Source organism: Homo sapiens, chromosome 17 (genome assembly GCF_000001405.40).
Source record: "Homo sapiens chromosome 17, GRCh38.p14 Primary Assembly".
Lineage (NCBI taxonomy): Eukaryota > Metazoa > Chordata > Mammalia > Primates > Hominidae > Homo > Homo sapiens.
The window spans coordinates 21,008,176-21,021,510 of NC_000017.11; the positions used below are offsets into that span (position 1 = coordinate 21,008,176).

At 49.1% G+C, this 13,335-nt stretch overlaps 1 protein-coding gene across 3 annotated transcripts in view; it reads right to left on the reverse strand.

Moving 5' to 3' along the window:
- The window catches only part of USP22 (ubiquitin specific peptidase 22), a 43,824-nt gene that overhangs the window by 8,580 nt on the left and 21,909 nt on the right, over nucleotides 1–13,335 (reverse strand). For all 3 annotated transcript variants that reach the window (XM_005256575.3, XM_047435703.1, NM_015276.2), the window contains 6 exons: nucleotides 12,938–13,051; nucleotides 10,909–11,010; nucleotides 9,767–9,936; nucleotides 7,577–7,724; nucleotides 4,655–4,760; nucleotides 2,976–3,134 (listed from right to left, as the gene is read on the reverse strand). In XM_005256575.3, the coding sequence (XP_005256632.1) occupies nucleotides 2,976–3,134; nucleotides 4,655–4,760; nucleotides 7,577–7,724; nucleotides 9,767–9,936; nucleotides 10,909–11,010; nucleotides 12,938–13,040 (788 nt within the window). In that variant the 5' untranslated portion in view covers nucleotides 13,041–13,051. The remainder of the gene's footprint in view (nucleotides 1–2,975; nucleotides 3,135–4,654; nucleotides 4,761–7,576; nucleotides 7,725–9,766; nucleotides 9,937–10,908; nucleotides 11,011–12,937; nucleotides 13,052–13,335) is intronic.

Here is a 13,335-nt window from a genome sequence, read left to right on the forward strand (position 1 = left end):
TACAGAATATTTATCTTAAATATTTTTTTTCCAGGAAAGGCCTGGGGAAATGGTAATAATTTTCTAAGTACCATATGACCCAGCAGTTGAATTTGAGCCAGAGAAATGAAAACTAATGTTCACACACAAACTGTCCACAAATGTGCACCAGAATGTTACTCACGAGAGTCACAAAACTGGAAACACCCCGTTTCTTCCCATGGCTGAATAATTAAAGAAACTGTGGAACACTGTACCATGGAGTATGAGACAGCAGCAAAAAAGGAAGGAACTACTGATCCCAAGCTGTACCCTGGATGCGTCCCCAGAGAATTAGGATGTGCAAGAAAAGCCAATCTCAAAGGGTTCCGTTATATCATTCAGTTGACATGACATTCTGGAATTGTCAGGCGTATGGAAATGCAGGAGTCCAGGGTGACTGCGGTTACAGAGTGGGTGGTGAGGGAGGAGGCACTGGAGATGCTGGGTACTTTCCGCATGAATGTCTGAATCCTGGCCAGGGCGTCGCACCACAGTGCTGAGGAGGTCACCATCGGGGGACCGGGGTAAAGGGTACCTAAAGGCTTCTTACAACTGCATGTGAATCTACAATGATCTCAACATAAGCAGTTTAATGTAGAGAGGTGAGAGGTCGGCCAGGTGCGGCAGCTCACACCTGTAATCCCACCACTTTGGGAGGCTGAGGCAGGTGGATCACCTGAGGTTGGAAGTTCAAGACCAACCTGACCAACATAAGAGAAATTCCGTCTGTACTAAAAATACAAAATTAGCCGGGCGAGGTGGTGCATGCCTATAATCCCAGCTACTCAGGAGGCTGAGGCAGGAGAACCGCTTGAACCTGGGAGATGGAGGTTGCAGTGAGCCGAGATTGTGCCACTGCACTCCAGCCTGGGCAACAAGAGCAAGACTCCATTTCAAAAAAAAAAAAAAAAAAAAAAAAAGGCAAGAGGACTGGGAAAGGTAATTTCCTGACCGTGCAGAGGCAGGAGGTAGGAGGGCTGCATCAGAAGCGTGTCTGGCACAGGTGTCAGCTGCCACTGACAAAACCTGCAGAACAGATGATTCAACAAAGCACACGCCAAATTTTGAAGCTGAAACACCAGCAAAAAATTCACTCTTTTCACAAGCAGGTATGGAAAGCCCTTATTTATGCTCTGGAAATTCTGCCATCTTAACTAGGGCAAGACGAGGGGGCCTCTGGGCAAAGCTGCACCTGTTTCGTTGCTAGCTTTGTGATCTGCTCTCCAAAGGACTCGAAAAGGAGCCTTTGCTTGCAATACAAAGTGGGGACCCGGGTGCACTCTACCTCTCCTCCACCTTCCCGGGAGTCAGCACCACATCATGTCTCTCCTAACAACACAGGCTTCCCACACATTGTAGTTTGTGAAGTGTGGTTTCTACCTCATGGCCTGCTGTTTTGGCAAAGCTTTCATTTTATTGGAATTTATGATTAAATTTAATTTAGCTGCAAAGACTTTCTTTAAAAAGGTTTTGGTTGGCCGGGCATGCTGGCTCACACCTGTAATCCCAGCACTTTGGGAGGCCAAGGCAGGCGGATCACCTAAGGTCAGGAGTTTGGGACTACCCTGGCCAATGTGGCGAAACCTAGTCTCTACTAAAAATACAAAAGTTAGCCGGATATGGTAGCAAGCACCTGTAATCCCAGCCACTCGGGAGGTTGAGGCCGGAGAATCACGTGAACCTGGGAGGTGGAGGTTGCAGTGAGCCAAGATCGCGCCACTGCACTCCAGCCTGCACTCTAGAAAGAGCGAGACTCCGTCTCAAAAAAAAAAAATTAAAAAAAAAAAAATCACAAAATCAGCTGGGCATGGTGGCACACACCTATAGTCCCAACTACTCAGGAGGCCGAGACAGGAGACCAAGGCTGAGCCCTGGACACTGAGGCTGAGCCCAGGAGATCGAGGTTGCAGTGAGCTATGATGGCACCACTGCACTCCAGCCTGCATGAAAGAGCAAGACCCTATCTCAAAAAACAAAATAAACATGCAACTTTGGTCGTGCTGACTATGCAGCCAGACAGAAACCAAAGGCTCGTACCTCTTCTAAGGGATACTTCCACTCAACAAGGACTCTTCTGCATTACCTTTAATTGATGCAAATAAAACAAAGGCTATAAAATAATAGACAAATTTTAGGAAGGTTTTCTGCTGTCTTTACAATTGTATGCTACAGCTACTTAAATACATTTTTTTTTAAAAATCACTCACAGGTGTGGTGGCTCATGCCTGTGAGCACTTTGGGAGGCCGAGGTGGGTGAATCACCTGATATCACGAGTTCGAGACTAGCCTGGCCAACATGGTAAAACCCCCGCTCTACTAAAAATACAAAAATTAGCCAGGCGTGGTGGTGCACACCTGTAGTCCCAGCTACTCAGGAGAATCACTTGAACCTGAAAGGCAGAGGCTGCAGTGAGCAGAAATCGCACCACTGCATTCCAGCCTGGTCGACAGAGCACAACTCTGTCTCAAAAAAAAAAAAAAAAATCACTTTGTAAATATTATTACTTATCCCAAATGAAGCAGTACATGCACAATTTCAAAAACAGCCCTAAGAGTACAGAACATCACAACTAAGTTTTAATCATGTGCAGAGAAGGCCGTGGACCATGGGGAGAGGCCCGGGCGCATCTCAGCTCACACTCCGGGGTAGGTGATTAGTGCAAGGGCTAAGGGAGCAGCCAGTTTGGCTCTGGGTTCATTTACATGCGGAGGTTGGAGTAGCAGCTGCTGACACTGACACCTGGTGCTGTGCGAAGCTGGGGGACAGAAATATTGAGTCATCTGGCCAAAACAAAGGACAAACTAGCACAAGAGACTGCAGCCAATCCAGGCTCATGCTGCACCTTTGCCCAGGCTCTGTCCTGGGCATGTGAAAGAGCCCTGCTTTGGTCCTGATGGAGCACAGCCTTCTGGCCAGGAGACACGCCCCCGCCGTGTGGGTGCAGGCCTCTCACCGTCGCAGGCAGTCCGTGAGCGTGGTGGTTCCCGACACGTGGCTTTCCCCGTTTACCACGTTGCCCTCGCTCCCTGGGCTCAGGGGCCAGAATGGGGTGGAAGAGCCGGGGAGATCCAAGCTGATGTCCCAGAAGGGGTCGATGGTGGTGGAGACTCCACTGGAAGCAGAGGGAAAACAATGGCTGTGAGGACTGACACCCACCCAGCTCCAGAGGCAACCCGGGGTGGAAGCCGTTCCCACATCCCTTCCCCGCTGTGCCCTTTGTCACAGTGACACTCAGGTGGGATGGGGCAGGAGCAAGAGCAGCAGTGCTCACACCCAACGTGTCCTGGCTCCCAAGGTGGCCCTGGGGAGGGGTGTGTGTGAACTCGGAAGGCGAGGGGCGCTCCTCAAGCAAGGACTTCCCAGTCTGGAGACCATCACAGTCACTGAGGGACTTGGGAGGAGGATAAACTCATGGGCCCTGTCAGAGGCTCTGAATCCACAGGTCTATCTCAGCTGCATCTAGAACTTGGGGCCTGTGACCCTAGGCAACACTGGAGACCCCTGCACATTTCACAGAGCGTGCCCAGGCCAGGCCCGGTGGCCTGCACTGGACAGTCAATGCTGCATTTCACAAGGCCAGTTCCTTGCTAGAAATTTATTTAACAATATAAAAAATGAAAACTTGCAGACTGGGAAATTTACTCTCGATATTTATACAGGATTTAAATCTTGAGACAATCTCCTACTAATGGAATTCAGTAGTTAAGGGACAGCGAGGAGGTCCAAATTGCTCAGAGCAAACTCGGTTTCTAATACTCAGAGACAAGGCCCCAAACGGTCTATGCTCCTTATAGAAAATGGCCCCCGTGACACAGGCAGCACTGGCCTTTCCCGATATTTGCTCGTCTTATGCAGTTTAGAAGTGACAGTCCATTTCGGGTTCTGAAATAATTTCGGTGGATCATGTCCAGGGTTTTTAAACTTCAACTGAAGTAAAGAACAGAGCCAGGCACGGTGGCCCATGCCTGTAGTCCCAGCTACTTGGGAGGCTAAGGAGGGAGGATCGCTTGAGCCCATGGGTTCAAGGCCAGCCTGGGCAACATACACAAGACCCCATGCCTGAAAAAAACAAAAACAAAAACAAAAAACCTGTAGCATGCACTGAGGTTGGGTGAGAGGGTCCCCTGACCTAACAAAGCAATGGATTCTCCCTGCACTCAACACTTGAGGCTCTAAGCAGAGACCACATCTGAGAAGAATTAGGGCCACTACATCAGAAAATGGAACCAGAAACCATAAAATAATGAAAACTAACACACTTCGAAGCACGTAGAAAAACAATCCACCATGCATGATCCACGCCTTCTTGAAGAGGGCTCTTTCACTTGGTCCCTGGTCAAGGACTGTAAGATGCAAAATGGTAGGGGAAGCTTCCAAGAACACACTGCTGGCTGTAGACAACAGCCAAGACCTCAACACGAAGGGCTCGCATCCCGAGGGGACACCTGCCCTACGACCTCCCCAAGAGGAAGCACCCCCACCCCACAACCTTCGCTCTCATGGCGTCTATTAATCATTTATCTCATAGCCTCCTTAAAGACCTCTCAGAGCACACACAGCTCTGGAGACTGGGAGGATGTCAGTACGGCCCCAGAGGGTTTGATATTGCCGAGCACGCAGCCTCTCACTTACTGGCAGACTTGGCAGGTGACGTCTGACTGCAACCCGCCTGTGAAGATCTGGTCTATGATGCAGTTGCAGTGGTTGGGGTTGTTGGCCTTCTTCCCATTGTCATCACCTGGAGACAGACCACGGCTCTGGGATTAGTGTCTCCCCAAATATGGGGAGTCTCTAAGGGAAGAGCAGTTCACCCTGCAGAAGCCTGGGGGAGCCAGGGCCAACGCTTTAAAAGGCCATGTGAGGACACTCCTCATTTTAGCAGAGGGTGTCCTTGTTATTTTAATATGACGAGAAATCACAGCACTTGGATTTTCAATGCTCCTTTTTCTCATTCCCTAACAAGAGCCCCACAGCTTCAGTCTTGCCAAGAAAACCCACCTAATGCCCAGTGACTGAGCAGAATAATCGATTCCCATTATCATATAAAGAATGACTGAATCAATATTGTTCCAGTGAGACAGCTGAACATATGGTGGGCCAGGTACACCCGGGGAAGCCCCAGCAACCTCCCTCCCTGAGTAGGTATCATGGTGCCCCAAGTTCAGAAAGTGACACCGCAGGACACAGGCTGTCCTCATCAGCTAGAGCCCCCAGGGGACAGCGTGTCTTCCAGTCAGTTGCATCTGGAAGTGCCACTCCCACCCTCTCTATTCAATACACACTTCATTCATATCCATGTGTGCAGATCTGTGAAAAAGAAACTTAAGTAGCAGAACTTAATTCGTGTGTGGAATACATATTCTACATAACTTCACTAGACAGTGGGGACAGGGCACGAGGACACCTGTATATACATCACAGTTCAAAGACGTTGAATCATGACAGAGGAATAGAGAAGGGCCACTAAGTCTTCTGAGAGCAGAAGGTTTAAGATTAGAGAGAAAAATGCTTCCCAGAGGGATCTCAAATTCATGGGACAAAATTCAGAGGACAAGAATATCCATACAGGAAGGCGCAAAGAATGATGAACAGAATGGCCAGGCGCGGTGGCTCACGCCTGTAATCCCAGCACTTTGGGAGGCCAAGGCGGGCGGATCACGAGGTTAGGAGACCGAGACCATCCTGGCTAACACGGTGAAACCCCGTCTCTACTAAAAATACAAAAAATTAGCTGGGCATGGTGGCGGGCGCCTGTAGTCCCAGCTACTCAGGAGGCTGAGGCAGAAGAATCACTTGAACCTGGGAGGCGGAGGTTGCAGTGAGCTGAGATCGCACCACTGCACTCCAGCCTGGCGACAGAGCGAGACTCTGACTCAAAAACAAAACAAAACAAAACAAAAGATGAACAGAAAGATGCCGTGAAGGCCACAAGGACAAAATGCACGTAACCAAGGCCATGTGGCCAGGCCACCTCGCTGAACAGCTCTGGCAACCAGGTTTCTAAACAGAAGAACCTTACATTTCTTTTCAGACATTTCCAAGGGAATTCTGTCAGAAGCACGTCAGAGGTCACATTTTGTCATGTGAACATTTAACAGCAATGCATTTTTGAACAAGTGATTTTTAGAACATCTTTCTGCTGCTTACAGAAGGCTCTTCGTTATTCTCACTAGGTGCTTGGGGTAACAGCATAGTCACTTCCACAGTGGCTCTTTCCTCTCTTATAAATCATACTAGGACATGAAATTCTACCTAAGCTACTAAGTAACTTTCCTTTGATTTCTAGGTAAGAATTAAAAGGATCACGTAGTTTTTCAGAGGAAAAAAAGTAAGTACCAAAAGAAAACAGAACCCAAAGTCACATTTGACCAAAACCAGCCATTTTAGCTCAACTGTGGGTTGTTTCTGGGCTGTGATCTCAGAACCCATAGGTTGTACGTAAGCGCCTAGGGCCCGGGTGCACAGCCTTGAGACGGATGAGAAGCGATGGGAAGGCCAGCCCACCAAGCTGTTCAACTCGGTGAACCGTCAGAACAGGACTCTGTTCTCTAAAAGACTCCAAGTTAAAATTAACTGATAGGATATCGGCTACAACTAGCTGTGCCAGCCCAGAGACCACAGGAAACTCACAAGCAGCCAGGTGCCCTGTGACCTGAGCGCATGGGTTCTCAGAGTATGGCATCTGAACCAGCGGCATCAACATCAGCTGGGAACTGATTAAGAGTGAAGAAGCCCCTGCCCCCCACAGATCTGCTGAATCAGAAACGCCAGCACGGGCTTTAGGAAGACCTGCAAGTGACCAGCCCACACTCATCTGAGAATCACCTCTCAGTCTCTCTGCCTGTATGGATAGACTTCAGCTGCAGGTCCCTCACACTGGGATCTCCACCATGAGGAGTGGGGAGGAGCCGATCTTGGCTCAAGTCATTCATTCCCAGCCTCCCACCTCCAGCGCTAAGAGCTGCCCCTGCCAACTACCAACACCACACAACTCTGAAAAATCATCAGGGTACCACCCTGGGGCCAGGCTGTGGGACTATGTTGGGGGAGATGGCCCAGGTCCAATGAGACCCCAAGAGAAGCTTTGCTCGTCCTGTGTCCCAGCTCTCTGGCTATTTCAGAGCAACCATCAGTCCTTTTGGAGAGTCCCCAATGGGAAGGAGACAGTTGGGTGATTAAGTTGTGTTTGGGGGATGTCCAGAAGCCTCAGGCCTGATAACCCACAGGGTCCCAGAAATGCCAGGGCAGGCAGGGGCCTCAAAGCACAGGCCCAAGAGGGCTCCAAGAGTTTGCTGTTCACTGTGATCGGTCACTGAGGACCTGTCATACTGCTGGAACTACTTCCTCGCCTCTTAAAAATAAACTAGGAGGAGCCTCTCTGAGGTCATTAGTTATGGTGACTTCAGAAACAAATGACGACAAGGGCTATGATGACAAAACAATGGAATGTGTCACCTGTGCCCCTTTTTGCACGAGTGCATACACTCGCTTTGCTTCCTTCCCCTTCAAGGAAAACATCCTGCCCTGGTGGAGGGTGCAGAGCCCAGGGCCCACCTTTGCAGTGTCGGTGGAGCACGTCCAGGGCCGCGATGAGGAACTCGTGGGCGTCCTGCTGCTCGTAGCCTGCTAGGTGCCTCGCGTGGGTCCACACCAGGTGCAGCAACTTATACGGGATGTGAGGGGACCGGTGTCCAGAGTAAAACTGCCAGAGGGCGGGGAAGGAAACCTTGTCAGGAATAAATGTAGACTCTGAACACAGAGTACACACAATCAAAACCTTTATCAGATGCCTACCATTGGCTGTGGCTCATTTGACACAAATGTTTGGATTTTACTTTTCTACTTTTTGCAAAGTCTATTTTTATCTGGGCTCACTGGACTTTTCGAGTCCTCATATGAATTTTTTCCTTTCTACCATCTAGTTTTCCACATATAAGCCTAAAAAATGAATTATGACTTGCTACTATGAGATCACATGCAAATAAAAGTGACTCGATTTGCCCAATACTAGTTTCCTCAAAGCACTAGCCAAACCACTCAGGCCCATGGACACCAGCACCTCCGCAAAGGGAAGCACATCACTGTGATTATGCAGAATTCACCAGCATCAGCCACAGGATTCTCTGCCTCTGAGGCTAATGGCAATTAGCTGAGGGCTTGCCAGCCAGTCCTCTCCAACAGCTCAACTCCAGCCGCAGACCCAGCAGCACACCTTCCATCCCACGGCTTCCTCCCCAGGTCAGAACCCACAGAGGGGTCTTGCCTGTGCAAATACAGAATTCAGGGCAGTTTTATTTCTCATCAAAAAACCCAAAACCACAGACCACCCAAATGTGTCTGAACTGGGAAACAGACAACTAAACCATAACCCATCTACATAATGGAACCCAACTCAGACATCGAAAGCACACATCATGGATGCACGCAAGACACGGGTGAATCCACCCAGTATTACATTAAGTAGGGACAGCCAGATTCAGAAAGGCTACTTCCTGCATGCATCCATCCGTATGATGCGCTGGTAAAGGACACTCAAGGGACCGAAGACAGATCGGCAGCTACCAGGGTCTGGGGACTGGGGGTTGACTTCGGAGGGGCACGAGGGAGTTCGGAGAGGTAACAGTTCTTCATCTTGAGTAGCAGCAGTTACACAACTATGCATTCGTCGAAACTCATCTATCTATAGGCTAGAAGGTGGGTGTGACTGTAATTTACACCTTAACAAGCCGGAGTCTAAAAACAATCTAACACAAGTGAGCTTATCACTAAAGTCAGTGATACAACCACCCACCAACTTCCCAGCTGCACCCTCCTTTCTCCTATTTGGGCCGTGTCCCCAGCAGTTATGGCACATTGCAGGTACTTTGAGGAAATCGGTTAGGCTCGACCAGAGGCTGGCAATCTGTTTTTGAAAGGCTTGGACAGTAAATAATTTCAGCTTTGCAGGTTGGATAGCCTCTGTCCAACTGCTCAACTCTGTGGCTGTCCCACAAAAGCGACCAGTGACCAGACAGACATGAGTGAGCTGGCGTGGCTGCATCTCTCGCAGAGGTTACGAATGGGAACAGGCCAGGGCTGTTGGCTGGCTCCTGTGCAAGGCACCTGAAGAACAGGCACCAGCCTGCTTATTAGTTGAGGTAACTGAGCTGCTTCAGCTCTGAGAAGCATGTCTAGGTCACGGAGCCGGTGAGGGCTGAGGCGGCAGCCGTGAACGCCTTGCTCTGAACGCTGCCATGCTCTGATGCCGGGGACAGAAGTGGACAGGAACGCCACACGTGCAGCCCACAGGAACAGCCAACGTGCAGCGCGTAGCTCATGAGGACAGAGGCTCTGATGGGGCATGCTTAGAGAGACCTGGCGGTGGAGGAGACTCGCATACCAGGAGGACACAGGAGGGTGACACATGCGTGCCTTTCTGAGCCAGGAAGGTAGACCATGGAGGAAGAGGAAGGGGGAGAATCACCCGTCTTTAGAGACAAATGTCACCCACCAGGGAAGTCTCTGCCACAAGCCTCTCAAAGGGCTTCTCCTTGTTCTGAGTCAGCAGTGCGTCCCCAAAAATCACGCCAGGTCTTCCCTTTTTGGAAAACTGTGTTTTCCATAATAGACATGTATATTAAACATTAACTTACTACAAAAGGTTCTAAATGTATCTTCCTTTATCATGGTCCACCTTAAATTTTTTTTTTGAAGGTGAAAACAAAGTAACAGAAATGTTCCCCTGCAGAAGTCAATGGCGCTCACCTCCTGAAACAGTGAGGACATCTCACAGACCAGACAGGAGCTGGGGCTCTGCATCTCACAGCGGTGCCTGTCAGACAGGAAGAAGTCCCGCAGAAGTGGCGTGTGGGTCAGGGCCTGCACGATGCAGTTCATGAAGCATGTGTTCCCAAGGTTGATCAGCCCACGCAGACCTGGACACAAATCACCAGAGAGCAGGAGTTACCTGTGTGCTGAACCACAGGTGTCGCTGGATCCCAGCGGCTTCCTCTACCTCTACATACTCATTTTCTTTTATTCATTCATTCAAGCCAGAACACGATGAGATATCGCATTCTGCTAGTTTTTATGCCACTTTTACATGAACGGTATTGAAGAATGTCCACCACCATGGACCCCTCCCACTTCAGCCATTGTATGCTTTGACAGAATTACACAAATATAGTTTCTACGACAACAGGCCAGGTCAGAGTGAAGCCTAATGAACAAACAAAACAGGTTTTTAAAAATGTTCTAGGGCCAGGGCAGGGGCTCATACTTGTAACCCAGCACTCTGGGAAGCCAAGGCATGAGGATCACTGGAGCCCAGGAGTTCGAGACCAGCCTGGGCAACATGGTGAGATGTCTCTACGCAAAACACAAAAATTATCCAAACATGGTGGTGTGCACCTGCAATCCCAGCTACTTGGGAGGCTGAGGTGGAAGGATCGCTTGGGCCCAGGAGACAGAGGGTGCAGTGAACTGTGCTCCAGCCTGGGCAACAGAGCAAGACTCTGTCTCAAAAAAGAAAAAGAAAAAGTTTTAAAGGGTATTCCCTCAATTTGTAGAAAATTCAGCGAACACTTACACTCACACACATCATTTCTCTCCCTGAAGATTACTGTGCCCAGCCTCACCCTGGCCAAAATCAACTTGAGTCCCTTTACCCACACAGACGCTGAAGGCTGTGAGGGCAGGGCTGTTGCTACGCATCACTCTGCGCCCCAAGCCCACTGCAGGTCCCTGCAGAGAACAGGTGCTCAAGAGCTGGTTGCTGAGCACATTGATGAGTGACAGTTATGCAGGGCTTCAACAGAATCATGTGGACTTAAGAAACCCACAATTCTGTATTTACTTTTAAACCCTGGAAAGAAGCCTAGCTGAGAGTGACGACACGCTCCACCCACCTATGGTGCAGTTCGAGGTGATCTTTCTCCTTTTCGGGTTGTGCTTCAGCAGTTCAAGCTCCCGTTTGGTTGGTTCCCAAGTTGAAAACTTCTCTCCAACGCCTAAGCAGATGAAGGACAGTTCCAAGCGCTATTAGCTAGATTTTCACATCAAGTGTGTTTACACATAAAAGCTGTGGCGCTATGCTGTCTGTCAGGGTGCATTTCAGTGAGCAACATCCACAGCACCAGGGCTTTCTCAAACTCTACTGTGCTGAGAGGGGCTACACACAACACTTAAAGGAGCTTCTCACAGAGGGTATGAGGATGTGAGCTACGTTTCCTGCAAGAAAAGCAGCACCTCCAGTCAAAACTACCCCAACGCCAATGCCAAAACAGTTGTTTTTCAAATGTCTTCCATCCTTCAGCACAGAGATGGCAGCATCAGCACCAATGGGAACTTACATGAAGGATTCTCCCGCAAACAAGTGAAATTGAAGGAGAGAGCTTGCACTTTTCAGCAAACTGAAATAGCATAAACTCAGCGTCGAGTTACCAAACTAAGATAGATCCAACAGTTAAAAACGTGTGTGCCACAAAATATTCAGAGAGTGGTGGTAAATGCTAATTGGCATAGTATTCCATTCAACGCACACCCTATGCGCTCAGAAGTACTTGTTCCATGCCAACCAACATTTCTGAATACTTCAAAATACTTTAAAAGACACAGCATGTTGGATAGACAGAATTATAAAATGATTCTAGAAGAATTCCATTTTAATCCTGGACATACATTTCTTAGGCCCGTGCTTTAAGTGCTCTGCACAGAATAATACACCCACACTTAGTCACAATGTTATTAAATTTCTGAGAGGGAAAAGAACAGCGAACACAAGTCAGAGATTGCTCTCCAGAGAAGACTTGTTAAACACAAATAATTCTGCTCACTGAAAGAGCCCCTGTTGCTATTCTTCCCTTCTCAAAACACTGGGGTGTTTTCAATGGAGAGTAATCAAGGCAAGAATGTAAAACAGGTGTCAGGTTCATATGTTTCCTTTGCAAACAGTGATGGCTTTGCTACCAGGGAGATCAGATGCTCACCTGTCAACTGGGGTAAACCACACCTGTCACTATGTCACTATCACTGTCAACCACTATGAGCATCTGTCAGAATCAAAAACCAAAAAAAAAAAAAAAAAAAAAAAAAGGAAAAAAAACTCAGGGAAGCCAAGAAGAAATAAAAAATAAAGAAAATGACTGCATGTTTGCTCCTCTCACTCTGTGTAGCCAATAACCAGTGTGTGTGGCCACACGGTGGCGACGGCAAGTGCAAAACCCACACTGGTGCGAGAGCCGTGAGGGCAGCTCACAAGATGGCAAGGATCTGACTGTGCAGTGGGGCTGCTGGGAGACTCTCCTAGTTTCCTTCTGGTGGGTCTAGTTTCCATCTGGTGGGTCTAGTTTCCATCTGGTGGGTGCACGCTGTTGACATGGATTTAACATCACCCAAACAGTCCAGAGTTTTAAAAGAGATTCTACCACAACTTGATCCGAAAATAGTCTGCTCTCCTGGGAGGAAGGAGGTATGTTTACATATAACATTACTGCAAAGAGATCGCTTGCTAGAATTCGGCAGAGCTGAGGGCAAACCACTCAGGGATGTCCAGATACGGAGTCACCTGTCCCCGAGAGGTGTGACCTCGCCACACTCGTTCAGCCCCACATCTGCAGGTGCGCCCTGGGAGAGCTTAAGTAATGCTGGGGTTGTTCCCTTGGCCCAGCTGCAGGCCCATGGGGGACCTGCAAGGGAAGCACCCTGGAAGTGGTCCCAAGCACACGGGCAGCTATGCATGCCTCGACACTAGCCACCTCCCCTGTCATGCAGAGCTTCAGCTGACTCCACTGTGGGCCTTAGGGGAAGGTGGGGACGGCCTCTTCCCACCAGCCTGCCACTTCCCACCTAGGTACTTCTCTTTCTCCTACTGGGTCTGCCCTTGATGGACATGAGGGAACTGCAGGATCAAGCAGGTAAACTGAGGTGGAACCAAACCTTGCATTTTCCAAGCTTTTCGCTGCTCCTCCTTGGCGATTATTTCCATGTCTTTGTCATAGATGTAGTCCTGGCACAGAAAACAGTAGATGCCTCCGTACATCAGATCAATGGCTGAGGAGAGAAAGGAGGGAGGAGAAACCAAGTTGAATTAAAAACCACAATGGAAGGCTGGAGGGCAGAGTTAAACACAGTGAGGTTCTGTAGATACTGACTGTTCACAGCACCTTCCTATTCACAAGCAGGGAAGCCAGTCCAGCGGAGTCTCCTATCCTGAGCAGGTGAGGGGCATGCACTGTGTTTGGCAGCTCATGCCCAGGGCTGAGGTGTCTTAAAAAACAGAGGCGACCCATACATACTTTTCAAAGCAGCCAATACTCCAGGATCAGGACCTCTGC